The sequence below is a fragment of the Homo sapiens genome, chromosome 6 (assembly GCF_000001405.40).
Source record: "Homo sapiens chromosome 6, GRCh38.p14 Primary Assembly".
Taxonomy (NCBI): Eukaryota; Metazoa; Chordata; class Mammalia; order Primates; family Hominidae; genus Homo; species Homo sapiens.
Window position 1 is genome coordinate 39,808,577 of NC_000006.12, and position 26,367 is coordinate 39,834,943.

A 26,367-nucleotide genomic window follows, 5' to 3' on the forward strand; every position below is an offset into this window, starting at 1 on the left:
CTGACTTCTTCTCTGGTGTCTTATTGAAGTGCAGTCGATTCAGCTCTTTCATGTCCCTTACTTTTTATGATAGCTTCCTTCCCTTGAAATCTGGTCTGAGCCCAATCCAAGTGACATACACTGTGTTGGCCCTGAGGGCCCTTGTCCTTGTTATATGGCCTTTGTCCTTGACCCAGTCCGTGAACCTTAACTCTCAGTTCAGCAGCAGTGAACCCCTTATCGGGTTGGCGTGGTGCTTGCACTGGGGACTAAAGTTGGGGGTGGCTTTCCTCTCTGCATCCTGCTTATTTATACATCGTGTAATTCACCTTAATTAAAAGACAAAAATCATGAAATTGGGACTTGTTTGAGCAAATCATGGGAGCGTGGTTTCTCTAAGAATGTGTATTGTTGTCTCTGTCAGTCAGGCTCCAGGCAGGAAGCAGTTGGCACTCCCAAAAGGGTTTGATGGATAAGAGTTTAATGAGAAGGCTATTTACAGAGGAGGGAGTAGAGAGATGGTGACGCACTCAGGAAGGAGCAGCACCAGGAAGCCGTTAGTGCTTCTCCACCTGAAGATGTGAGAGCAAGGAGTGGTGTCGTCAGAGCTCTGCCTGCTGGAGCTGTGCAGGAGGGACCACTTGGCAGGAGCTGTGGATCCAGAGGGACACAGCCTCTGCCAGACTCATGGCTTAGCAGAAACGTAATGGGGGAGTGGGCACTCTGAAATTTCAGGGACTTGGCACCTCCCTGAGTTTCTTAATTTACCTAGTTCATTGCTCTTCCGTGACCAACCTCACAGGCCTCAGTTCTTTGGCTCTCATTCATGTCTCATTAAAGTCACGTACCAGGGCTGCTTATAGACCTGGCTATCTGCTCGGTTTCTTCTAGCTGGGGAATGGTGAAATGTTCAGGAGGAAAGAAATCTGAAGAGGTCATCTATTGTAGCATTTCCCAAACTGCCTTTGATGGAACACTAAGTTCTCACAATGGTTGTCCTAGGGAAAAAGAAAGTTCTGTGGTTAAAGAAATTTAAGTAGCCCTTTTCCATCTCCCCTACTTTTCCCCCTAGAGAGCCACAATGCTCAGAGAAGCACTGCAGTAAAAAAACAAAAACAAAAAACACCCTAGTTTTACGATGTCTAAACTAGCGCTTCTCAATTTATCTAAAGGGACTTTTTCCATGGTATACCCCACAGAACGAGTGTTTTGAGGTTTGTATCAGAATTTATATTCAGCTATAGCCACATGGAACAGAAACCTGGCTAGAGTTGTTCTGTCAACTGGGGTTCTTTATTTTTCTTACACAACCAGTTCAGCAGACACACTCCAGAGTTGGTAGGGTGGTTCCACAGTGCCATCAGGGACCCAGGCTCCCTCTCTCTCTCTCTTCTTCAGCCTTCTTTAGAATGGAACCTTTGTCTTTGTGCTCATTGCTTCATGGTTACAATGTGGCTGCATCACCTCCATCTTCAATCTGCATTCCAGGCAGGAAGAAAGAAAATGACAATGCATAAAAAGTGCATGCCAGCTACTTCCAGTCTCTTTAATAAGCTTCTCGGAAAGTCCTGGCCATACACATCAAAATTCTGTTGAATAGAGGTCCCAAACTGCAGTGGAGTCCGGGGGGAAGCTGAACATTTTTTAATTGGGCATGTTGCTGCTGCAAACAAAAGCAGGGACCCATTCATAGGAAGAAAGAAGAAGAGATCAGACATTAGGTGAACAATGAGCATCATGTGTCACATCGATCAAACCTTGTTTCTCTCTTCAGCAGGCTGATTCTAAAATCTTCACAGGTAAAATAAAAACAAACAAAAACCTATGTAATCAATAGAAAAAGCAAATTCTAAGCAACAAGCCACTTGGTATGGCAGAGTCTGCAGAAAATACTATTGGTGCTCTTCCCAGACCCCTGGTTGCTGTGGGTGCTCCAGCTAATGGTTCACACCTGTGTGGGCTGCCCTTGGGTTGTCCATCCCCTCTACCCAGAGGTACCTGGAAGTTACACCCACTTGCCCCACCCCAGCCCACCTCTCCCCTGCATCCTGTGACCAATGACTCACTAGGAAAGGGGAAGAGCCCCATTTTTTTGCCCCTTATGGGGACAAATGTGTCTCGGTCCAAGTCACCCTTCAGAGTTCCTCACAGCATGAGGCTGAAGTTAGACCTCACCCGAAACCACATTCTTTCCCAGATCCCTCCCCTGCCTTTTCCTATTTCCTTCATTCCCTTTCTGGTTCTTCCTGAGAGCTCAGTTTCACCAAATCACACATACACCCATCCTGTCCGAGGCTCTGCTTCTAGCGAACCCAATCTAAAATGTCCTGGGTAAAGCAGGCTATTCTTTATTACACCCTAAGGGAAGGGATCTAAAACCCTTCCCCTCAGCCCAGTTTGTGGCCACTGGTGGGCTTTGGCTTGGCCTGGGTGTTGTGGAGGCAGATCCTCATTCCACCCTGATGATGGCTGTGGGAATGCTCCTTGCCAAGTCCTCAGATATGTTTGAGGAGGCCTCCTGACAAGGCATTTAGCACAAGGGGTCCAGCATTGTCTCTTCTCAAGGCAGATATTCTTAGAAACTTTGATTTGCATTTGTAAGCCTGTAAACTGAAGGGAGTGTGTGTGTGTGTGTGTGTGTGTGTGTGTGTGTGTGTGATTTTCCATCTTGTGGCAATGGCAGCTGGGTATTTATAGCTGGATCTTCAGGGCCATTCTCACGTGGCTAAAGAAAATGAAAACCTCATGTGGATGTTGTTTTGTTTTCTCTCTCTGCCTCCGCCATTGCAAGCACTCCAGTTGTTAAACCCTTATTGTTGTAACTAGAGCCACCCTGAGCATCCCTGCGATGGAGGGGTTATGTACATTGACTATTTCAGGACAAAGTGCCTGTTCTCCTTCAGGCAGGCCACAGAGTAAAGGAGGGGACTTTTGGGGAGAGCTCGTGGGCAACACCAAATGGCAACCCCACCCGGCACCCTCCTCTCTGGAACGTCTGCCTGGATTTACCCCATGGAATGTGGATTCCTTAAATCACCTCATGATCCCTCTGCATATATAAGCTCCTTTGAAAGAAAACTGTTTTCTTTCTCCCTTGTTTTGCTGTATTCTGAAGTCTTTTATGTCTGGGTTTGGCCTTCTCTGTTAGGCTGAGAACACCCTGGGGGCCATGGTCTGTTTGCCCAGGTTACTAGAGCTCTTGGCAGGGGATGTTGGCGGGGGGATCTGAGAAGGGTGGCAGGAACTCAGCCCCTGGCTTTCTCCAGGATGGCTTGAGAACTCATGGAGCTCCTTAGACACCAGGGTTGGATGGTTTGCCTAATGTTTACTGAGAAGCCAGTCCCCTTCCTGATAATTGAGGGAACTGAGACTGAGGATGCAGGGCCCCTGTAGACCCTCTGTGATTTCATTCTGGTGACCTGGAACCCACACATTTACTCCTTGGACTTAAACACTGAGGCTACAGAGAATTTGTATCTGGGGCATAGGGCAGGGTGCATAGCCCAAACCTGCCAGAACTAACAAAGGCTACCAAAGAGCATGTTAGGAGGGGAATATAAGCCTGGTTGCTGCGGACCCCGGGAGCTAGGTCTTCCCACTCCCTGGCCAGACCCACGGCAGTCAGACCTTCTGCAGCTGTTCTCCTATGAAGGGTTTTATACACTCCTACTCTTCAAATTCAAATTCTCTAAATAATACCTACCATGTATGGAGGGCTCACTAGGTGCCAGACACTGGGCTAAGCCCTTGCACATTTCAACACATCTCATTCTAACAGCTCTGCAAAGTGGGTATTATCCCATTTTATAGAAGAGGAAACTGAGGTTCTGAGAATTTAGTCAACTTTCCTGAAGTTGCACATCTAGTTTGTGGCACAGAGGGGATTCCAAGTAAGGTGTGCCTGACCCTAAGACCCGTGCTTTCTGTACCGTACCCCAATCATTTCACTTCATGATGAACTTGACAATCGACTGTACCTGAATTCTGCTTTGTTATAACTCTCTAGCCTCCACAAACACTCAGTATCCCCCGCCTCCCCACCCTGCCCCTGTCAGCCTTCTATTCTTAGTGTGGATGGTGACCTCTGACTGTGGAGTCAGCAGGTAGCTTTTGGAGTGCCTGTAACTCAAACAATTTAATCTGACATCTCAATCCTGCCACCCTCCCCTCTGTTGCAAACACACCCTCAACTCCCTTTTCCTGCCTGCCTCTGTCCTCCTCCAGCTCCTGTGAGTTCTAGAGGGTTTCCAAACCTAGGATAGAGCCAGCAATTCATTAGTCTTTGTCCTGTTTCCAAGAATCCCAAATATATAAGAATTCCTCATTGAAAAGCCAAGCATTCTTGGGGGAAAGTGTGTGTCACCAAGAAAGCACGATTCCTCACATTGGGAAAGGGGATCGTAGTCCAGTCCAGGAAAATAAGTGTAGATTTCAGTGCCAGATGGAAGTGGATTGGCTCTCCCTGACACCTCCCCTCCCCAGCCACCCACCCCTCACAAACCACAACCGGGGAGCTTGCCTTCCCAGTTCATCTGAGGGCACTAACCGGATGACATTTTCCTCTGGAGAGAGAAGGAAAGAAGAGGCAGATTGTGTGTGTGTGTGTGTGTGCGTGTGTGTGTGTATGTATGTGTACACAGTTCTCCTCACCTACAGGCCACTTTCTGTGCAGTTCCTTTTGGCATGGACCACTTACTGTTTGAAGAGCCCTCTAGTGAGTTTTTGGGGTGGGGGTGAATCATAGGCGATGAGTCTGGCTGCTCTTCCACTAGGAGGAAGCATCTCCCTCCTCTTTGGGGCAGCTCAGCTTACCAGAAGATCTAAGGTAAATGAATAGGAAATCTGCTCGAAAGCATTTAGAAAGCAACCTCTTATGGCTGCGTTATGCAAATTCATAGGCTAGAAACAGGACAGGCACCAAGAGGAAGCACGTGAGCTGAGTGAGCAGAGTGTGTGTGGAGTGAGTTATAATCAAGAAAAGCTTTAGGAGGATATGAAGTTGCTTTTTTTAAAAAAAATTCTCTCCTTTATTATAAAAGAAACATGGATTTATTATACAAAATACATAGTAGCAGAAGACAAAAATAAAATTAGTTCATGAGCCCATCACGGGGCACTGAAAAGAGACTTTGATCTTTCTGTTCCTCTGCCCCCTTTCCCACAGCTTCCCACCTGGCCACAAACAACACTTGGAGAATCTGCCTTCCCAGGTCACTTAACATTTGGCAGTTAATGTTTCCAGTCTTTTCTCTCCACATACATTGTAAAAGCATGGTTGAATACATATTATATGTGCAGATGTTAGACAGTTTTGTATTGTGGTTTTATCTTCTGGTTAGTATTACCAACTTTGTAAATGAGGAGATAAGTCAAGTGAGGTGTGGAAAAGGGTCATGGCCACTGTTTGGTAGAGAGGAAACTGAGAACTGGGGGAAAGGGGCCCTAAAAGACCAGCTGATACCCTGTGGGATGGAGGATCTTTTAAATCAAGCTTGTTCAGCCCGTGGCCCATGGGCTGCATGCGGCCCAGGATGGCTTTGAATGAGGGCCAACACAAATTCATAAAATTTCTTAAAATGTTATGAGATTTTTGCAAGGTTTTATTTTTTTTAAGTTTTCTTTTTCTTTCTTTCTTTTTTTTTTTTTCTCGCTCATCAGCTATCGTTAGTGCTAGTGTATTTTATGTGTGGCCCAAGACAATTCTTCTTCTTCCAGTGTGGCCCAGGGAAGCCAAAAGATTAGACACCCTGTTTTAAATGACAGAAGATGAAGAGCATCTAAACCTCAACCTCCCAGCTCCTATGTGAGTTGGGAGCAGTAACAAAGCCAGCCTCCCCTTTGACCTTGGCTTGGTTTCCCTGGCCACAGATGGAGCTCTGATGCCTTTGTTGGGGTTGGCGTTGGCGTTGGGTGAGCACTGTGGTGAGCACTTCACATACAACTGATTTTCTGTTTTACAGATTTGGAAACTAAAGTTTAGAACAGCTAAGGACCTGGAGTAAGATCCATGTGGCACAGCAGCAGAGCTGCAATTCAAACGCGTTCATCTTTCTCCTAACCACTGTCCTAGGCAGCTTCTAGTTCCATGGAAGAGAATGTCTCCTGATTCCTCACTTTCTGCTAAGCCTTTCTGGATTGACTCACCAAAGAACAAGGGGTGCCCTCCCACCATTTCTGTGGAACTCAAATGCCTGAGCCCTGCTGTATGGAGTGTGTATCAAGGAGATTTGAGGAAATAAGTAACCTCAGCATCTGTTCTCACCACGTGGCTCTTCCTCCAGGAAGTTTTCCAGGTTGAATTCCACTGGATACTCATCCCTCTCCTCCTCCATTCTCTTCAGTATTAGCCTGATTCAATTCAGAGCCACTCAGTCATTGATATTGTGACCAGATGTCACCCGAGGAGCCCTGTCTTTGAGATTCAGAATAAATTAGCTGAATCTCACTGCCACAAACAGAGGGCAGTGGTTCTCAAATTGTGGGACCTTAGACCAGCAGTATCAGAATCACCTGTGAACTTCTTAGAAATGCACATCCCTGGGCTCTGCCCAAGGCTTCTGGATCAAGCTCTAGGGGTGCAGCCCAGCGATTTGTGTCTTATCAAGCTCACGTGGTGATCCTGGTGCACACTGAAGCCTGGGAACTGCTGGTCTGGAGATTCCAAAATAAGTGGTGGTGGCTTATATTTTTCACATCACCTCTGGCTCTGAGTTCCTATTTCCACTGAATTCGTTAAGATTATTAACTACCCCTAGGTGACAAGCATGGTGGCCCAGAAATTAACATGAACTCTGGAGCCAGACTGCTGAGATTTCAATTCTGTCTCTAAGGCTCACTCATTGTATGGGTGTCCCTGAGCAAGTGGCATAAATTCCCTCTGCTGCAGACCTCTTATCCCTAATATGAAATAACCATGGTATTCCCCATAGGGCAGCTGTGAGCCTTCAATGAAACTGTGTCTGTTAAACACAGTTTAACAGTGCCTTACACATAGTAAGCTCACAGGAAACATTAACTCTTATTGGTGTCATGCAAACCACGAACTCTTCTGCACTGTGTTGACCCAGATGTGGAATTACTCCCATACCCCTGGTTTACACACACACACACACACACACACACACACACACCGTTTACACAAGGCTTCATGAATGCGGTGAACTTTATGGAGGTCTGGGGAGACCAAGGGTATTTGTATTACAACAATTCAGAATTGAGCACTGGATAAGCTTATTCTAAAATAGATTGGCCAAAGGTTACACCATTTGGTCTTCCTCCTCTCTCCCTTGGTGCTCACAAGCAACTCACTCAAACAGGTCCCCCTCTTTATTATGTTGAGTAATTCAGCTGTCTTTACTCTCCAGCCCCACTCCTCAACTTTGCTCCTCAGTTCACTTTGCAAATCCAAAGACAACTTCTAAAGAATGGACCTTCTACCCTGATTCTCATGCTGGATTCCTCCCTCATAGGGAGAAGAGTAGCAATGAAGATTTATTTTTCCTACTGACATGAACTGTGCTACCTCTCAGGATGCTTTAGTGATAGTTTTGGTTTTTCTCTATAGGTATATGAATCACACGTTGTATTTTTTCTAGTAAATACTTGAGAAAGAATTTGATCCAGGAGTCTGGGGCAGAGCCCAAGGCTGCGCATTTCTAACATGTTCACAGGTAATGCTGATACTGCTTATCTGAGGTCCCACAGTTTGACTGCAATGTATTTATTTTTGCAATGGGGCATATTGCTCTATAAATGTTCTCCTGCTCTTGTTCTAAACCTTCACACCCTCATAACTAGGGATTTGATCACAGCCACAGGTTCTCAATCTTGATACTAGGCCACATAATTCTTGGTTGTGGGGGGGCTATCTTTTGTATATAGGAGGCTTATTAACACCCCGAGCCTCTACTCAGTAGATCTCAGTAACATTTACTAGTTACGAGAACCACAAAACTTCTCCAGACATTGCCAAATGTCTCTGGGGGCAGGGGGTGTGATGGGTAGCCACCCCCAGTTTTGAGAGCTGCTGGTCTCAGCTAAATAGTTCCTGTAATAGTTCAAGTCCATTATATCTTATTCTACCCCACACTTTACCTCTGTATTTAAGTTCAGGGGCCTGGATTTATTCATTGAGAAGAAAGGTATGGAGGAGTCCCAGCAGCCTCTGGATCACCCTTGATTTCCAAGGAGAATCATCAACACTTTGTGACTGCTTTTTCTCAAAGGCTCCACACTTAACCCATCTGCAGTGGAGCCAAGGACATCCAGGTCTGTTTCCAGTACCGTCTCTAGTCCTGTTAACGCTCCCCGTGTGGCGGGAAACCTCACAGGAACTAGGGAATGGCCTTTGGTTTTTGGCTTATAAATACTCATCATCACATTTCTTTTGCTGAGAAGTTTTTCAAAATCGTGTTTAACATTCTTGTTGCCGTAGTGGAAACTTTTGTTCTTTGGAGGGCTTCCCATCCTAGGCCCAGGTCAGATTCCTCAGCAGAGCTCTGAACATTTTCTAGGGAAGTTTCAGCAGTGAGATCGCACCTTTGATGCACTTACACAACTGTGGCTGGATTCTGGGTTAAGACTCCCAGGATCCCAACATACACAACAGGGAAACTATGCAGCTGGAGGAAGGGCCATGTGCCTGGGAGTCTTTCTGGGAGGCCAGGATCAAAATCCTTTTATGATTCTATTACTTTTCTGGGTTTCTCTCCTTGCCCCCTAATGTCTTAAATCTAAGATAAACAATGAGCACTTCAGTCAGTAAAAGATTATGCGTAATAACACACAATCTCCAAATTTCAGTGACTGAAAACAACAAAGGTGTATTTCTTACTCATGTTATCTGTCGGTAGTGGATCAACAGAGGGTCTCTGCTTGTTTTAGTCCCTCAGGAACTGAGGCTGGCAGAACAGGCCCTGTCTTCAATGTTGGCAGTTGCTGTTCTAAAGGAAAAGGGAGTCTGGTCCTCACAATTAAAAGCTCTAGACCACTAATGATGCTTCTGTTCATCAGTGTTCTATAGTGAAACAGAACCAATAGGATCTCTCTCTACATATATCTGGATTTGTTTTAAGGAATGGGCTCCCATGGTTGTGGGACTGACAAGTCAAAAATCTGCAGGGTAGGCCAGCAGGCTGGAGACCCAGGAAAGAGCTGATGTTGCAGCTCAAGACTGAAGGCAGTCTAGGGGTAGAGTTCCCTTCATTGGGGGACCTCGGTCATTTTCTCTGAAGGCCTCCAACTGATCAAATGAGGCCTACCCACATTATGGAGGGTAATCTGCTTTACTCAGAGTCTACTGATTTAAGTGTTCATCTCATGTTAAAAAAAGAAAAAATTCTGGCTGGGCATGGTGGCTCACGCCTGTAATCCCAGCACTTTGGGAGGCCGAGGTGGGTGGATCACCTGAGGTCAGGAGTTTGAGACGAGTCTGGCCAGCATGGTGAATTCCCAGCTCTACTAAAAATACAAAAATTAGTCGGGCATGGTAGCACACGCCTGTAGTCCTAGCTATTTGGGAGGCTGAGGCAGGAGAATCGCTTGAAGCTGGGAGGTGGAGGCTGCAGCGAGCCGAGGTGGCGTCACTGCACTCCAGCCTGGGTGACAGAGTGAAACTGCATCTCAATTAAAAAAAAAAAAAAAAAAAAAAAACTTCACAGTAACCTTTATACTGGTATTTGACCAAATACCTGGTCCCATGGCCAACTTGACACATAAAATTAACCCTTCATATTTTCAGCGAATGGGCCAAAGTTAGCCACATGACTCCACCCAACACAAGGACCCAGGAAGTACCATCCTCTGTGTGTAATCGGGGGTGGGGACCAACAATATTTGACTAAGCACCAACAACTAGAACAACTATAAATTATTTTATCTGAGGATGAAAGAAAGTATTAATCTGTGGTATTTTGACGTTAATGCATTCTACTAACACAATGCAGAAATAGTGTTAGACTTAGCTCTACCTGCTCAATTCATTCGTAGCAGAGGTCATGGAAGAACATGGGTTGTAGCATGGCCTGGCCTCCAGGGTGACTAAATTTGAACACTGTTACTGAACATCGTCCTGTTATTCTTCTGTATTGTTTTCTTTATAACATGTTTTCTGTGTGTGATGTTGCATTTAAAGCCCATTTGTGTGCTGTGTAATTGAAGTATGCCTTGCAATTAATTTGGCCTTTGTGACCTCCTTTTAGTATAAATTCTTTAGGTTCCTTTTTCTTGCTTGGATCGGAATCATCTGAAAGGGCTCAGGAGCCAGCTGTCGCTCTGTGTTTTTTGCTACTGAGTCACTGTTTCTGACAAGCCTCTCCTGAGTGTGGGCCCTCATTTCCTTGTCTAGAGTGGGGTTGAGCAATGTGATTTCTAAGGTTCCTTCTGGCTCTGACATTCTGTGTGCCTTTGTTCCACACCCTTTTTCAGTGATGCCAGTGCCAGGGGGTACAGCCTCAGGGATGTATAACAGGGTTTTCCTCCACAAAACTGGCAGAATTGTTCTGGGTTCTTATTTGAAAATGTGGCATGTGGCCTCTCATCAGTGCTTTGGCCATTTTGCATGCACTAACTCACAGAGAATGCAGGCTACACCCCAGCTGGTGAGCATCACCATCATCTCTATGCCCACTGGCTTTCTGTTTGGCTGGAGGGAAGCTGAGGACAAGAGGATGTTAGGTTGGAGCACAGGGAGGCCTGTGGAAGGCAGGGACGGTGTAGAGTCTGGCCCAGCTGAAAATGGGCTTGGGGAGCCTGGCCAGTCCTTCAGGTCCATCTGGGCAAACCTAGTCTTCAAAGGGCAGAGTCACAAGGACCTCAAATGCTACTTACCTCCTCCAGTACTAACATTTGACACATCTAATGCCTATTCATTGTTGTGAAGTTCAAATGAGGTAACTCATGAGGAAGTGCCCACAAAACTAAACACTTATGACACACTCTCAAACACACTCTCAAACAATAAGAATTACTATCATGAGCTGCCTGACTCCACAAGATTTTAGTGCTAGGTGCTAGGGACAGAAAAGTGAAAAAAAGATGCTCAGTTAATTAGCATACAATGTGATGCTACCTCTAACAATAGACTTTGGATGATGTCTTAGTTCAAGCTGCTCTAACAAAATACCATAGATTGGGTGACTTACACAGCAAACGCTTATTTCTCACAGTTCTGGAGGCCGGAAAGTCAAGATCCAGGCACTGGCAGATTTGACGTCTGGTGGTTCAGCCTTCTCACTGTGTCCTCACATGGCAGATGGGATGAGACAGCTCTCTGGGGTCTCTTTTATAAGGGCATGAATCCCGTTCAGGGGAGCTCCACCCTCATGACCTAATCATATCCCGAAGGCCCCGCCTACACATAGCATCAGATAGGGAATTCTGCCTCAACCTATGAATTTTGAGAGGACACACACATTCAGTCCATAGCAACGGGCAAAGCTTGTGAGAGCACAGAGGAAGGAGTTTTTAATGTTCAACACTCTGCTCGTGGGGGTGGAAGCCTCCATAGCAGCACTGACAGTTTAACCTGGTCTGGAAAGATGGCAAAGACTGCACAGGTGGAGGGAATGGGCATCCTAGCCTGAGTGAGTGGCAGCGTGCTGGAGAGGCTTATGGAAACCTCTGGTAATCTGGCCTGGTGGCTGGGTGGGGTGGGTGGGACCATGTGGGGGAAGCTGCGGAGGGAGCTGGTGATCAAATTAGGAAAGGTCTTGGATAATCTATGAGGAGCCTGGACTTCGCTGAATTTTTCAGTTACCAGGTTTTAAAAAACTTTTTATTTCAGTTTTTGGCTGAAAGAAGAAGCTATTATTTTAATTTTATTTAAAACCTGCCTGTGGATCTATAATAGGCAAAACTTAACTCAAATAGATTTAATCATAGCCTTGCTGCACTGTCCTGTTAATTTTGCTACTCTCCTTCCTCTTAGAGCTTCCACGTAGAATACATTTATCTTCTCGCTCTAGTCTCGTCTTGATTGAAATATTGGAGTGAGAGATAGAAGGTGGGATCTTTATTTTTTTTTCTCTGTATACAGAATAATGCCTATTTTAGAATGTGGAAAATACTAAAAACTATAAAGATGAAAAAAGAAATTTACCCTCTGGACAAGGTTGGTAGAAGATGAGTGGTTGAGCTCCAGTAGAATCAGTTTTGTTCAAATCCTAATTTTTTCACATATTACCTGTAAGACCTTGGCAATTTACTATCTCCAGGCCTCAGTTTCCTCATCTGTAAAATGGGAATAATAATCACAATACCTACCTCCTAAAGTTCCTATTGGGACTAAATCATTTTCTTCATGCAAAGCACTTAGGAAAGTGCTGTGTACATAGCAAATAATTAATATTTCTTATGGGTTATTGCAACACCCTCTGGGTGAGTTCAGCCCTAGAGGAAAGTAGGTGAGTTCCCTTGGGGAAGGGTCTTTCTGCCTCCATGTTCTACATCAGGAAAGTGGAGAAGCTTGTCATACCACAGGATGAGGCTAGTGCCGAGTCACAGACTGGTGTGTGTTCAGAGTTTTTCCCTGGAGGATGCTAGCTTATCCTCCCTTGCTCCTTCCTTTCTAGCATTTCCACCCACCTCGGGCTCTTGGGGCAGGCTGTCCCTTTAAGAAAGAGAGCCACACATTCTGCTCCTGACAGTGGCCCTGCCTCCCTTGCTAGATACCTTGCTGGGCTGTGGTTGGGACACTCCTGGGCTGGATTTTAGTACTGAAGCCTCCAGAGGAGGGGGCACTGCTTCAAATCAAGCACACCCCACCCCAGGAATCCATGCCCACAGAAGGACTCCCTGTCTGCAGCCCCCTGCTGTGGCCCTGGGCTCCCAGCACCCAGCTCTGGGACATCAGAAGATAATTCTTGAGGACTGAGCTCAGGATTCCTAAAAAGAAAGTTGGAAAATAGCTGGATAAACTTGGTAAGTGAAAGAAAGCCGCGTTACATCCTCTTCCTTGGATTGTGGATTGCAGATTTTGGGTTGAGTTCTGGTGACTCTTGCCAGTGGTATCTGATGGGCAAATGTGAGAAGGAGGAGACAGAGGTGGGGACTGGGATCCCCAGTGGGTAGCGAGTCTTGAACTTGGGGATAGCCCCCCACCTTATCCTGGTGGTTGTCAACCTTGAGGCAGGGAGCTGGGGGTTGACATCTGAACATAGCTGGAGCCTGGCCCAAGGAGTGAAGATCCGGGAGGGGCAGATGTCAGATTTCTCCCTCATTTGGGAAAAACAAAGTGTGGTCAGTGAGTGCTGTTTGTGAAGATGCCAGAGACCAGTGACATTTGCAGCCTGAGGGTGAAATGAGTGACCCTGTGAGTGTATCTCAGGAGGAGACTTGGACCAATTCCTCTTCTTCCTATAGGGTCAGGGGACAGACCAGGCCTGGGCCCCAAGAAATCTGCGTTGTCTCCTTGGATTGAGGCAGCTGCCCATGAGCAGCAGCGGACAGTGTCGTAGTGGGAGGAGGCAGGTCTGCCAAGGGCAGGGAAGAATGGAGGGCCTGTTACTGCTGAAGCCTGGGAACGCTGCCTGGGGGGAGGCCCACGCTCCCCAGAGCTGGAGTGAGAAGGAATGGGAGGAGAAGTCTATGCAGCAGGGGGATGGGCTCAGCCAGCATCCCCACCCTCTGCAGAGCAAATGCCCCCGTCCCATTTCCTGTGGCATGGACACAGGTGAGCTTCCTGGCCTTGAATGCTCAGGTACAGTTTGGAGGGCTGGGGTCTGTTACAAAGAGGTGGCCTCCCATGGAGGAAGCAGGAAATGCTAGAAGCCTCAGCCCCTGGCACTCACCCGAGGGTTTCCAAATCAGAGACACTTTCTGCTAAATTATGCTTCAACAGATGTTTTCTGTGTTCCTACTTGTGCCAGGCTTTGTGCTGGGGATTTACCAAAATATAATATGGCATGGTGGAATTGGGAAGGTGTGCAGAGCTGGAAAGATATTTTGGATGTGAGATTAAAGCCATTTTTGAAAAGTAACAATAATAGTTACCATTTATTCTGTACCTTGAATGCACCAATCACTCTGCTAAAGGCTTTGCATCTCCTTTAATTCTTGCAGTAGTTTATTGACTTGTGACTAATTTTGTAGATTTCAAAGATTAAGAAACTAAGGCTCAGAGATTAAGGACCTTTCCTTAAAGATGCAGGGCTGGTAAATGGCAAAGCCAGGATGAACCTCTTAAGTCGTCTAACCATTTATTCATTTGTGTGTTCAACAAAGTTGAATTGCTGGCCTACTGTGTGACAGCCATTGTAGAGGGCACTCAGGACACAGCTGGGACAGGGAAGGGTCCAGGGCAGCCTAACTCCATAGCCTGGGTCCTCACCCCCAGCCAGAGCCCTTCACACTGGGCCCCAGAGACCCCTGGGAACATTGTGTGATTGTTTTCTCCAAGGTCTGAGACTCTGCTTGAGAATGTGCTTTTCCTTGAGAAATGTTTCTTTGTTTTCATTTTAATAATAATACTGTAAAAATTGGAGGCATTTATTCTGAATCATCTGAATGACCACCATATAACCTACTATTGGCATGCGATTTTAGTCCCCAGGTTTGTGTTTCTGTGCAAGTTGGCACCGAGTGGTTTCCTAAAATGATAGTTTTTAACTTTCAATGCTTTGTTTCTCAAACTGGGCTCTACACTGTGTGCTTCAAAGGCCCAAAGATTAAGAAAGGCTACATCGACAGATTCTACTGCAGGAAGGGAGATGTGCAGTATGGGTGTCCCAAGAGGAAATGGTTCAACATCCTCCTCTCCTGGGGGGTGAAGAAAACTGAGGAGTTCAGGTTGGGGCAAAGCAGCTTGGGGGTTCTGAATCTTCCAACCTGCTGGTCTCCAAGCTCAGGATGGACCTAGGCCAGAGACTCAGAGAGGAACAGGCAAGTCAGGAAAAACGAAGACTCTTGAGTTCAGATTGGTGTGCTCTGCTCTGACATAGCATCTCTGACCTCAAGCAAACTTGCTCCTTTCTGGGCCTTTGCAGATGGGACGACTTGTGCCGGGAAGGGGGAAGTGTGGGGCCTCCCTGGAACACTGTGTGACTTCCTCCCAAAGAGGGATGTTTTGTGGTCATTCAGAACTTCTGACCTTTCCTGAGGCCCAGCTGTTAGGTGAGAAGGCCATCGCATGATCCCTGGTGTACAGAACTGTGCATGTGACTTGTGCCTCACCACCCTGGGGGCATCCAGGGCTGTATCATGCTAGCCTGGTGCTTTGGCCCTTAGATGGGGCTGGGCAATCAGCATCCTTTCTGGATCGGATGTCCTGCCAGTCTTGGAGGCTGGAGGCAGGAGACTGAGGACCCCTGCCTCTCCATCCTCTTCCACCTCCTTTCCCTCCTCCCCCTGCTGGGGTTTTGGGTCTTGCTGTCATCTCTGCTTTTGAATGATGCTCCATTGTATCTCCACTCTCTGGTTACTGTCCCTCAGCTGGGCCCTGGGTGGTCATTCTGGTCGTCTTTTCTCCAGACTCCACTCTACCCTCTTCTGTCTTGTACATTAGGAGTCAGTGAACATTATCTGCAAAGGTCTTGATAGTAAATATTTCAGCTCTGGGGGCCTTCTGTGCTACACATTAGTAATTTGTTCCTAATTTTATCTCCTCAAGCGCAGGAGTCAATAGAACTTGGCTATCTCTGCAGCCTCCCCCGCCCCCAGTTCTGTGCCTGCTGGGCAGTAGGCACTCAGGAAGTATTGCTGGCATAAATCCCAATGACCTCTCCCCATCCCCCTAGAGCCCGTGCCCCAGCAGGGGGCATCTTGGGGTCTAGCTGTACCATTTTGGGAAATCAGGATCTGGTCACCTGTTGGTTGCTGTGGCATCCTGTAGCTAAATCCATCTCTGGCCCTGTAACCTGAACCTGCCCCAGGCCCTGTGCTCCAGGATCAAGTGTCCCTGTTTGTTTTGACATCCCCTGTGGGGCGTTAGAGATCCAGATTTCAAAGCAAGATTTTTTTCTAGCAGCGGTTGAAGGCCAGGCCCCTGCCAGCTCCTGGGCTCCCATGTTAGCATTTTCAGTTAATTAAGAAAACAAACCCCACATCCTTGACAGAGGTGGTTCTGCCAATTCAGGACAGAGAACTTTGCATCAGCATAGCATGCAGGAGAAGCTGGCCAGCTCCTGCAGGCAGGACAAGCTGAGGGAGGCAGATGTTTGAGCTGGAGAGGACCCACTGGTGCCTTCTCGGCAAGAGCAGGTTCCGCGGAAGTCGCATGGTTGGGAAGCCAGCTCCAGGCAAGGTCCAGAGCATGGAATTTCTGTTCCTCTTTCCCCATCCAGGGTGCATTTATCATGGGTGAGGGCCATGGGGAAAGGCCAGCTGGATGAGAATAGCAGGGGGAGACACAAATACTTTCTTGGGACTTGCCAGTCTTCCTCTCCAGAGCCAGGTTATCCCAACTGTCTAACTCCTGGAGGAGAATGATGAGAGGTGACCTGGGGTGGCTTCAGAGGGGCCCAGGTAGCTGACCTGCCAGCTGCCAAGAAGGAGCCTGATCAGAGAGGCTGCTTAGCCATGCAGGGCCTGGATGTGAATTTAAGAAGGGTCTTTGTCAGGCTGGGTGCGGTGGCTCACGCCTGTAATCTCAGCACTTTGGGAGGCCAAGGCAGGAAGATCACCTGAGGTCAGGAGTCTGAAACCAGCCTGGCGGACATGGGGAAACGCTCTCTCTACTAAAAATACAAAAATTAGCCAGGCATGGTGGTGTGCGCCTGTAGTTTCAGCTACTCAGGAGGCTGAGGCAGGATAATGCTTGAACCCGGGAGGTGGAGGTTGCAGCGAACTGAGATTGCGCCACTGCACTCCAGCTGGGTGACAGAGCAAGACTGTTTAAAACAAAACAAAACAAAACAAAACAAAACAAAACAAAACAAAACACAAGGTCGGGGGGTTGGTGGGGGGCCTTTGTTTCTTGAAGGAAACATAGTTAAGCATACTCCTGTAAAGTAGCCCAGCTCTGCCAGTGTGTGTGTGTTGGGGGGCACTTTCCTGAGCCTGGCTGTGCATTCACTCACAGAATCACCCTGTCACCTGATCACACACCCTCTCCATCGTACCAGGGATAAGATATGTCCTTCCCCTGCTCCCACCGTGGCTGTGATTGGGCAGGTGGGAATGGGGGGAGTCAAGGGAGCATAGGTGGGACTGGCTTTCTGCACCCCGATATCTGTACTGAGTGTACTGAGTGTACTCTTTCCCAGGTGTACAAGCCCTGCAGGCAGGGTGGGCTCATGTATCTCCTTGGATGTGGGATTCTCTTGCAGTTCACAGCCTGCACACTACATGCAGTGGTCCTTGTACCTCTTGGGTAGAATGGAATTGGAGGGAGACCCAGTCCTGCTCTATCATTGCTAAATGGCCCAGCACACATTATTTGGGCTTTGTGAATCTCTTAATTTCTAATGGGAAATGGGAATGAGGTTCACATTTTATGTGTCCCCATGGTGCAGGTGTGTTGGCAAATATGAGATAAGGCGTATTTCATGCCTAGTGCAGTGAACCTGGCCTCCTTCCCCATTGGACATGTGTCTTGGTCCAGCTTCTGCCTGCTGGCTTGGGATGTGGCTGCCTTAAAAGATAGTGGGGAGAAATGATAAACACACGGCTGGCATCTTCTCAGCTTAGGAGAAGAGCCCTGGGGAAGAAGCGATTGTGCGGCCTGCTCCTGGTCTCTGGTATAACTAGTTCAAATAACTGCCAGTTAGTAGCAGATTTTTTTTTTATTTTACTTTCGAGGGTCTTCTCCTTACCTGCTGGAACTCTCTGGGCTCCCTGCCATGAGTACTTTGTCATTCACAGCACAATCCCAAAGTGAGGGGCTGGGGCTATTCTAGGAAAGCAAGTCTCTTAAAAGGTGAGCATCCCTGTGGTGTCCTAAAGCTGGGGAGAAGCCACTTAGGGTTTTGGGGGACTCTCGACTCCTTCTCTTTCTCTCTTTTTCATTTCCAGTGGAATCCTCAGGTGATCGGTTGTGTAGCTGATATGCCCAATAGCTCCCCTTTCCTGGAGAACATATCCAATTTGCCTCACGATCCTCCTGAAATTCTTGAATCCCTGGACACCAGGCTAGTTTGTTTGCTTTTCTCCTTTTGCCAGTGATTTTTTTCACTTCATATTAGGACTGTTTGCACACAAAAATTAAGAAAAATGTACATAAAAAATCAGATGTGAAATGTGAAAAAGCATACTAATGGTAGGCAAATAATAATAATTAGTATGCATAGTCACAGGTTTCTGTAACTTCAACTTGGCAAATCCAAATGTCTTGGAATGACTGTCAGGAGCACCTTCTCTTTTTAAAGAGAAGTTTCTAAGTACCCTTCAAGCTTCAAAGAGAAAATCTGAGGTGAGGAAATCAGGAGAAGTTGGGAATCAGTTTCCTGGAGTATTTGAGAATATTTAAAGAGAGAGGCGGTGTAGCTTGGATCCTAGCAGGGCTCACAATATTTAGGGGAAATATTCATGAATGAATCTTGGCTAAGATTTTTGGAATTTTTAATTTTTGTTTTTATATTGCATTTTTGTAGTTGTTGTTTCCACTTAAGTAGAAACTCAGGAGAAACCAGGAAGCAAAGCAGAATTTGTCTGCGACTGTTCTGTAGTGGGAGAGAAGAGTTCTGTGCTGTGAATTCGAAAATTGGGTTCTAGACATGGCTGTGGCATGAGTTTGCTGTGGGTCCTGAGGCAAGTAGCCTGCTTCTTGGGCCTCAGTTTCTCGCCTGTAAAGCGGTCTTTAAATGGTAGTACCTTCATTCTCAACGTCTTGTGCATGCCAGCAGCTGTATGAGGGGCGTCCTGCAGATCATGTCGGAGAAAGGAGGAGTTGAGTCCATTTGCACACAGGTGGGGAGTGTGACATCTCAAGAGGGGAAGGCACAGCTATCCAGGAGCTGAAGTGGGGCGGGGGTAGTCTTTTTCAGAGTCTGATTATTGGGTCTGGGTTTGTGGAATGGTGCTTCACCACCCCAGGGAATGGTGGCCCTCACTCACGCCTTGGCTCTGTGTGTGTGGGCTCATGGAGGTGCCCCCGGGCCTGGTAGGATGCAGGGGCCTGGGCTTCAGAAACAGTGGCTGGAGGATTCTCCCTGACTCTTTTCCTTGGGGTCCTCATGCCTGGATTACTCTTCAGGGTCTCTGTCTTTGTGTGAAGTGTGATACCCCTTGACCCCCTTGGTCTGAGAATGAACTCTCTTAATGGACCAAAGGGGAATCTGGAAAATCACAAACCCAGTTTCAGAATTCAAGGGGTATAGTCCCTTCATGTCTGAGCCCTGGAGTACTTCTTGGGTCATCTTGCCAGCTGCCCAAGCTCTGCCTGCCCTGCCGCTCACACTTCTAACTCCTGCCCTCCCTGCTACCTGAAGGCTCATACCTGGGGAACGCCTCGCTGTCCTTGGAGACTCAGCCCAAAAATCACCACACCTACAAAGTCTCTCTAACGCCTCCTCCTCCCCACCAATTTCAGGTAGTAGGGTTCCCTCTCACCTGTGCTCCCACAGGCCTGTCCCTGATGAAGCACTGAGCACAATGTTTGAAAACCACTGTTCTGTCTGACTCTCGCTAGACTATTAGCTTCCAGAATGCAAAGCCCTGACTGGTTCAGTTTTGCATTTCTAGTATGTCTTAGTCCATTTGTGCCAATATTCCACACACTGGGTAATTTATAAACCAAAACAACATTTCTCATGGTTCTGGACTTTGGGAAGTGCAAGATCAAGGTGCCAGCAGAGTTGTTGTCTGGTGAGGGCTGCCCTCTGCTCCTAAGGTGGTGTTTTGTTGCTTCTTAATGAAAAACTGTAAAGAGCATAGGTACTCCTTGCATTTTTGCTATTCATTCATGCAGCCAATATTTAATAAGGACCTACTATGCATTAGCCCTTGCCAGTGGAACTATGCTATAGTTTGCATGTCTGTGTTCCTTTCCTTCCTCTGGAGGGGAAGAACACTGTGTCCTTACATGACAGAAGGAATGGAAGGGCTAAAAGGGCCTAAGCTAATTCCCTCCACCCCCCTCCGTCTTTTTTTTTTTGAGACGGATTCTTGCTCTGTCGCCAGGCTGGAGTGCAATGGTGCGATCTCAGCTCACTGCAGCCTCTGCCTCCCGGGTTCAAGTGATTCTCCTTCCTCAGCCTCCCGGGTAGCTGGGACTACAGGTGCGTGCCACCATGCCCGGCTAATTTTTGTATTTTTGGTAGAGACGGGGTTTCACCATGTTGGCCTGGATGGTGTTGATCTCCTGACCTTGTGATCTGCCCGCCTCTGCCTCCCGCCTTTTTATAATGCACTAATCCATTCATGAAGGTAGAGCCATCATGACTTAATCACTTCCCAAAAGGCCCCACCCTTAGTATTATTGCAACAAAGATTAAGTTTCAACATATGCATTTTGGAGGGAACACAGACATGCAAACCATAGCACAGTTCCACTAGCAGGGGCTAACGCATAGTAGGTCCTTATTAAATATTGGCTGCATGAATGAATAGCAGAGATGCAAGGAGAATTTATGCTCTCTACAGTTTTTCTTTAAGAAAGAAGCAAGAATGGTTACTGTTTGGATAATTCACCCAGGGACCAGCTTCACGGGATGCTGTTTAAACAGATAAATCCAATTGGCATCTCTTCTTTGTATACTTTTGTTGATGGCAGGGGCCTGGGGAGCGGGCTGTGTGTTCCACACAGGGTGTGTGGATGGGCCTGCACATGCGCCTATGACTGGTTGTGGGTAGCAAGCACAGAATGATCCTGTTTTTCTGTAAATACTGAGCCACAAACATTGGCAGTGACTTTCTGGCCATTATCCTCAGTGGTGTGTGATTCTTGCGGCTTTTCCCAGGGTGTACCAAAGGAGTGTGACTGTGGTGACCATCGATGGGGAGGCTGGCAGCACTCAGGGTGATGGACAGAACCCCATGGTTGGTTCCCTCTTAAGAGGCTTGTGTTGGAGGCTGAGTGATACCTCATTTGGCACCAGTTGGAGAGTTTATAGCCTGTGAGGGTTCTTACACTTACCAAGAGGAAATTGGGCAATAGAAATTTATGTTAATGTCTGTGGGATAACAAAAAAGCAACATGTCCCTGGGTCAGTAGTGATCTTACCTTCAGGGGTTTGTTTATTCATTGGCACACTCAGACATTTCTACTCAGTGCCTGCCATATATGCCTGTCCTCATTCTAGGGATGCAGACTGAACCTGGTCCCTGCCCTCAGAGGGCTTAGTTTCTGGTAAAAGTGCTTGAAGATTGGGAGGATGGGAGTTGAAGCTGGCACCCTCCCCAGAGCCGTTCTGAGCCGGCCCCTTGGTGGGAAATATCATTTCTCCATTTATTAGCTCCTCTGTTCTCCCCCAAGTTGTTGCTGGCCAGAAGCACCTTGGTACCACCCTTCTAGATTTCTCATGCTCCCTCCTTCCCCACGCTGAGTTAGAGACCCTTCATCCATACTCTCATCATTCCCTGTACAGCTCCACCAAGATACTTCTGCCCACTACCCCGGCCTGCTCACATTTGTACCCCCTTTCCGACTGGGAGATTTTTACAATCAGGTCTGTGTTTTATTCACTGCCGCATCCTACAGTGCACAGTGTCTGGCCCAGAGTGGGGGTTCATAGATGGTTGTGGAGTGGATGCCCATGGGGCAATGCTGGACTGCATTTATTTCATCTTCAGCATTCACACTGAAGCCTGTGTCTATCTATTTTCATCTTTTTCTGGGTCCGTCATGGAGAGGCATGACTCTCAGAGAAGTTGCTGAAAAGCTGGGGCATTGCGAGAAATTGGAGAAATCTGGGAAGCCACAGGCTGGAGTCGCTGGGGTCCGGTGAGTCCTCTGTGACTGTCATTCCACGCACTCCCTCCCAGGGAGGGAGGCAGGTGGGCTTCAGGGCTGACAGAGTGGGGCTCTGAGTCCAGACTGTGCTTGTGCTGAGGCCTGCGTCTTCTTCATCGTGAGTGGGGACAAGTGATGCTGACAGACAGACCTACCCCTGTGGCCCTCCGGCTCAGGCAGTGCAGCTGGGCCAGCAGGAGAGAGGGCCGCCTGGGAATAGCTGGGAAGCAAGTCCAGGCCTTGGGCCCACCTCCCCCAAGGCCAGGATGTGGCGTGGGACCCAGGCCTGCGGAGGTTCCCACCACTCTGCTCCTGCACTCCCAAATGCTCCAGGCCCAGGCAGCAGGAGGGGGTGGCGAGGGGCTCCAGCTGCCTGGGTCAAGACTGCATCAGGACCAGGGCAGCTCTGCAGGCACACACCTCTGACATTTAGCCTCCACCTGGATAGCTGCCAGTGGCCCTGCAGTCCGGACCAGCTTTGCATGGGGGAGGAGAGTCAGGGATTAACCATTTCAGGCCCTTCCTCCATCAGGCAGAAACTGGTCCTCTCAGGTCGACCATGTACCAAGGACCGGAGTGGGCATATTTACAAATGTTGCCTCATTTAATCTTCACATCAACGTGAGGGTGTGGGCATCATCTCCATTTCTCAGATGAGTAAACTAAGGCATGTGGGGAGTTATGTAACTTGCCTAAGTCTACACAGTTAGTAAGTTTCATATATTCCTTCTTTATTACAAGGGCCTATTATGTACCAGGTAGTAATTCTAGTCACTGCGGATACAGCAATGAATGATAGACAAAAATGCCCCATGGAATATACATTCTTGTGGGAGGGATAATGAATACATGGGATGTATAGTCTGTCAGGTGGTGGTAAGTCTACGTGGAAAATGAAGGGAAGGGAGATGGGAGGTGCTGGGAGCGGGGCTGCTATTTCAGATGCCCTTGAAAGACCTCACTGAGAGGGTGTGAGTTATTCACACTTAGTGCTGAATAGGTGCCTGGTGCTACCCTAATCACTGTACCTGACTCACTAAATTAATCCCCACAATTAATCCCCACAATCTTTGAGGCAGATTACTATTATTATTCTCATTTTCACATGGGGAAACTGAGGCACAGGGAGGTTAAGTAACTTGCCAAAGATGACACAGCAGATAAGAAGCAGCTCTAGGATTTGCACCCAGGAAGTCTAACTCCTGAGTTCTGGCTCTTAACCTCTGTGTGGCCTCTGCCAGGGCCACAAAGACAGTAAATGGGTGGGAAGGTCAAGAGGCTTGTAAGACCCCACCTGAACAGTCCAGGTCTGTGGCCTGGGGGGTAGGCACGCTGAGGGACAGGTGCACTAGGGGGCAGGTGCACTGTGGGGACAGGAGCACTGGGGAGGCAGGTGTACTGAGGGGGCAGGTGCACTGGGGGGGGGCAGGTGCAGTGCAGGGACCAGAGCACTGGGGGGTAGGTGCACTGGGGAGGCAGGTGTACCGAGGGGGCAGTTGTACTGAGGGGGCAGGTGCACTGGGGGGCAGGTGCACTGAAGGGGCAGATGCAGTGCGAGGGCCGGGGCACTGGAGGGTAGGTGCACTGGGGGGGTAGGTGCACTGGGGGGTAGGTGCACTGGGGAGGCAGGTATACTGGAGGGACAGGTGCACTGGGGGCGCAGGTACACTGCGGGGACAGGTGTACTGAGGGAGTAGGTGCACTGGGGGAACAGGTGTACTGGGGGGACAGGTACGCTAGGGAGGCAGGTGCACTGGTGCTCACTCCTCTGCAGCTCCCTTGGTGAGGAAAGGGTAGAGGGGCCGACAGGTCAGTTGCAGTTAAACCTGGGTGAAAGTGGGGCTTGACTAGTTTGTGTCAAATAAGGAGAGGATGAGCTCCCCAGTGAGGGGGTCCCAGAGGCTCCCCTTCTCCCCTCTCCTCCTATGCCAGCCAGCCTCCCTGAGCCCTCCGAGGACTCAGATCTGAAACAAAAGTGGGACTGTTTTTTGCTCTTGTCCTCTTCTTCCCTTCCTTTTGTCTATCTGGGAATAACCCACTTAGTGGTGGTGATGATGATTGATGACATAATAGCAGCTCATATTTATTGAAGACTTACTAAACTGGGCAGCGAACATGAATAACGACACTCAGCTGTGCAGGAAAAAGTAATTGATTCTTATAATGGATAATTTTCAATGAAAAACTTAGTGTGAAAAATAAAGGTACTTTAGTCTCTGATTTAAATGAGTTGCTTTGGAGCGAGGTCCCATCAAGTCAAAATTCAAACTTCCTGTGAGGGCAGCTCCCAGTGCCCCTCCCCTGAATGGTCTGGCTTCCTGGGGAAGCTCCAGTATTTTCCTGGTGACCAGGGAAGGGCCTGGGGGCTGCAGGGTTTCTGCAGTTCTCCACGGAGCTGTACCTTGCTCTCTCTGCTGCTTGGGCCTCTGTGCTGAACTCCATTGAAGGGGCCAGGTCTGGTCCGGTCCCCAGGGCTTCTGAGGGTAGACTTGGCACCCACTGCTGAAGCTTAGGTCTTCCTCAGGCTCCTGGCTCTGCCAGGACGTCCACCCACTCCTGGAGGGCCCAGGTGTCCAGTGGCTGGTCTGGGATGTGAGGGTTCTAAATGGGTGGGCCCGAGGGCAGCCCCCAGGTAACTTCCTCAGCTGTTGCCAGCCATGTTTGCTCAGAGCTGGGTTTAGGCAGGGTTTATCCACGTGACCTTTCCCCAACCCTGCACCCTATTCTGAAATTCTCCAAGTCATTGAGTTATTTCTAATGACACTGCAAACCACCCCCTCCTCTCTTCTCTGGAGGTGGGGAAGGAAGTGGAATCCAGGGCATTTACTTTCTTTTCCTCCTAGTACTAGAAAGATTTTCTTTTTCTTTTCTTTTCTCTTTTCCTTTCTTTTCTTTTCCTTTTCTTCTGCTTTGCTTTGCTCCCTCCCTTCCTTCCCTTCCTTCCTGATGGGAGTCTCGCTCTGTCGCCCAGGCTGGAATGCAGTGGTGTGATCTCAGCTCACTGCAACCTCTGCCTCCCAGGTTCAAGTGATTCTTCTGCCTCAGCCTCCCAAGTGGCTGAGATTATGAGTGTGCACCACCACACCTGGCTAAGTTTTTTCATATTTTTATTAGAGACAGAGTTTCACCATGTTGGCCAGGCTGGTCTCGAACTCATGACCTCAAGTGATCCACCTGCTTCAGCCTCCCAAAGTGCTGAGATTACAGGCTTGAGCTACCACGCACAGCCTATAAAGGTTTTCTATTGCCCTGTCCTGTCTAGAGGAGACATCATTACCTTGTATCAACTGTTCCTCCCTCTATGCACCATTTTGTTCTGGAAGCTATCAGTCTTCTTTTCCCAGGGAAAACAAGGTCCTGGCTTAGCTCTGATATTAGAAGTGTACAAGAAAAGAAAGAAAAGGAAAAAAAAGGAAACACTGGCATTTTCCAGAGGTAAATATGTTGGGAAATATTTTAAATATTTTCCTTGTGAAATCCTCTGTATCTGGCAAGCAGGGCTATGCCTGAATTCTCACTCAGTCCTCACCACTACCTTGGGGTTAGGTCCTGTCATAGTCTCTACAGATGAAGGAGGTAAGGCTTAGAGAAGTCAAGCAACTTTCCCAAAGTCTTGCAGCTTGTTAGTGGCAGAGCCAAGTTTAGAATCTAAAAATTCTGGATTCTTGACCCCGTCGTATGCCTGAGGCTTTTGCTGCTTCTCAGAAATGAGTCTTGGGGTAATGGCTCTTTAGCACTCAGTGACGTGTGATGTAGCGCCTTGAATAACGTACAATATCCCCCAGAGAAATGGGGATGGGTTTCAGTTGGCTCCACCAGGGGTAAATATAAGAGCATACCTCTTATATTGTCATAGGATATCTCATTTCAGATTTAGAGAGGGGCTTGTTGGTTTTCAAATTCCCCCATTTGTATGCATGTGACTACCTACATCCTTCTTTTTTCACTCATTTTAACTATGACTTTTCACTAACTGTTTGGGTGACTGCACTGGAGAAAAAGTGTGATGTGGACATCCTTCAACTCCACTCTGCTTCCCTAGTGAAAGAGGCCTTTGATTTGCAGCAGTAGCTCCTGTTCGCCGAGCCTGGTACAGCCCTGACTCTCAGTGCTCAAGTTGGCTAAAGCCCTGCCCTTTTCTGTCTGCTAGTAGCTGTTGAGGATCATGTGCGACATTTGAAAACTCAGCTCTGGCTTCACTTGCACTGGAGTTGAAAGGCGAAGGGGGTATCTGGGCACCACCTAAAAATAGGGGGAGATTAACTCTCACTTTATGTTTTAAGCTTTTATTACATAATCAGCATCATGCTATTGGTGTTATATTAACTCTATATAAGAGGAAGGAGAAAATCCAGCCATAATCACACCACATGCATTTGGATTCACATTTCCAAAAGCTCCAATGCCCCGGGAATTCTGAGATGGAGGGCAGGGCAGGGAAGGGAGCAAAATCAATGAGAGGTGATTAAGGTGACCTGAGGTGGCAGGAGTCAAGCCAACGCACGGGCTCAGTTTCAGACTCATTTTCCCTTAAGACTGAGCTCTGGCATTGCCTTCTCCAGAAA

General features: G+C 47.9%; 1 protein-coding gene and 1 long non-coding RNA gene across 18 annotated transcripts in view, besides 1 other annotated feature; one reads left to right on the plus strand and one right to left on the minus strand.

Annotated features, from left to right (window-relative positions):
• DAAM2 (dishevelled associated activator of morphogenesis 2) overlaps window positions 1-26,367 on the plus strand; it is a 112,494-nt gene that overhangs the window by 16,201 nt on the left and 69,926 nt on the right. The window contains exons 1-2 of one of the 17 annotated variants that reach the window (XM_047418536.1): window positions 2,956-6,272; window positions 8,087-8,247. The exons of 11 other annotated variants lie outside the window; for them this stretch is intronic. Coding sequence is in view for 2 of the 6 variants with exons in the window: in XM_006715039.4 (XP_006715102.3) it covers window positions 13,408-13,648 (241 nt within the window). In the remaining 4 variants the exon portion in view is untranslated. Of the gene's footprint in view, window positions 1-2,955; window positions 8,248-12,917; window positions 13,649-20,475; window positions 21,794-26,367 lie in introns of those variants that run through there. 5 more of the 17 variants (XM_047418535.1, XM_047418541.1, XM_006715039.4 and 2 more) reach the window with 5 other exon arrangements.
• Window positions 1,254-11,235, minus strand: LOC124901487 (uncharacterized). Its single transcript, XR_007059917.1, has 2 exons — window positions 11,121-11,235; window positions 1,254-1,456 (listed from the first exon to the last, which is right to left on the minus strand). It is a non-coding gene; the product is annotated as an uncharacterized LOC124901487 (long non-coding RNA).
• Window positions 15,584-16,144: an enhancer, noted in NCBI's record as "NANOG-H3K4me1 hESC enhancer chr6:39791936-39792496 (GRCh37/hg19 assembly coordinates)". NCBI's record gives its function as "activates a minimal SCP1, AML or CMV promoter by ChIP-STARR-seq in primed H9 embryonic stem cells {active_cell/tissue: H9 hESC(primed)}" and the evidence as "EXISTENCE:reporter gene assay evidence [ECO:0000049][PMID:30033119]".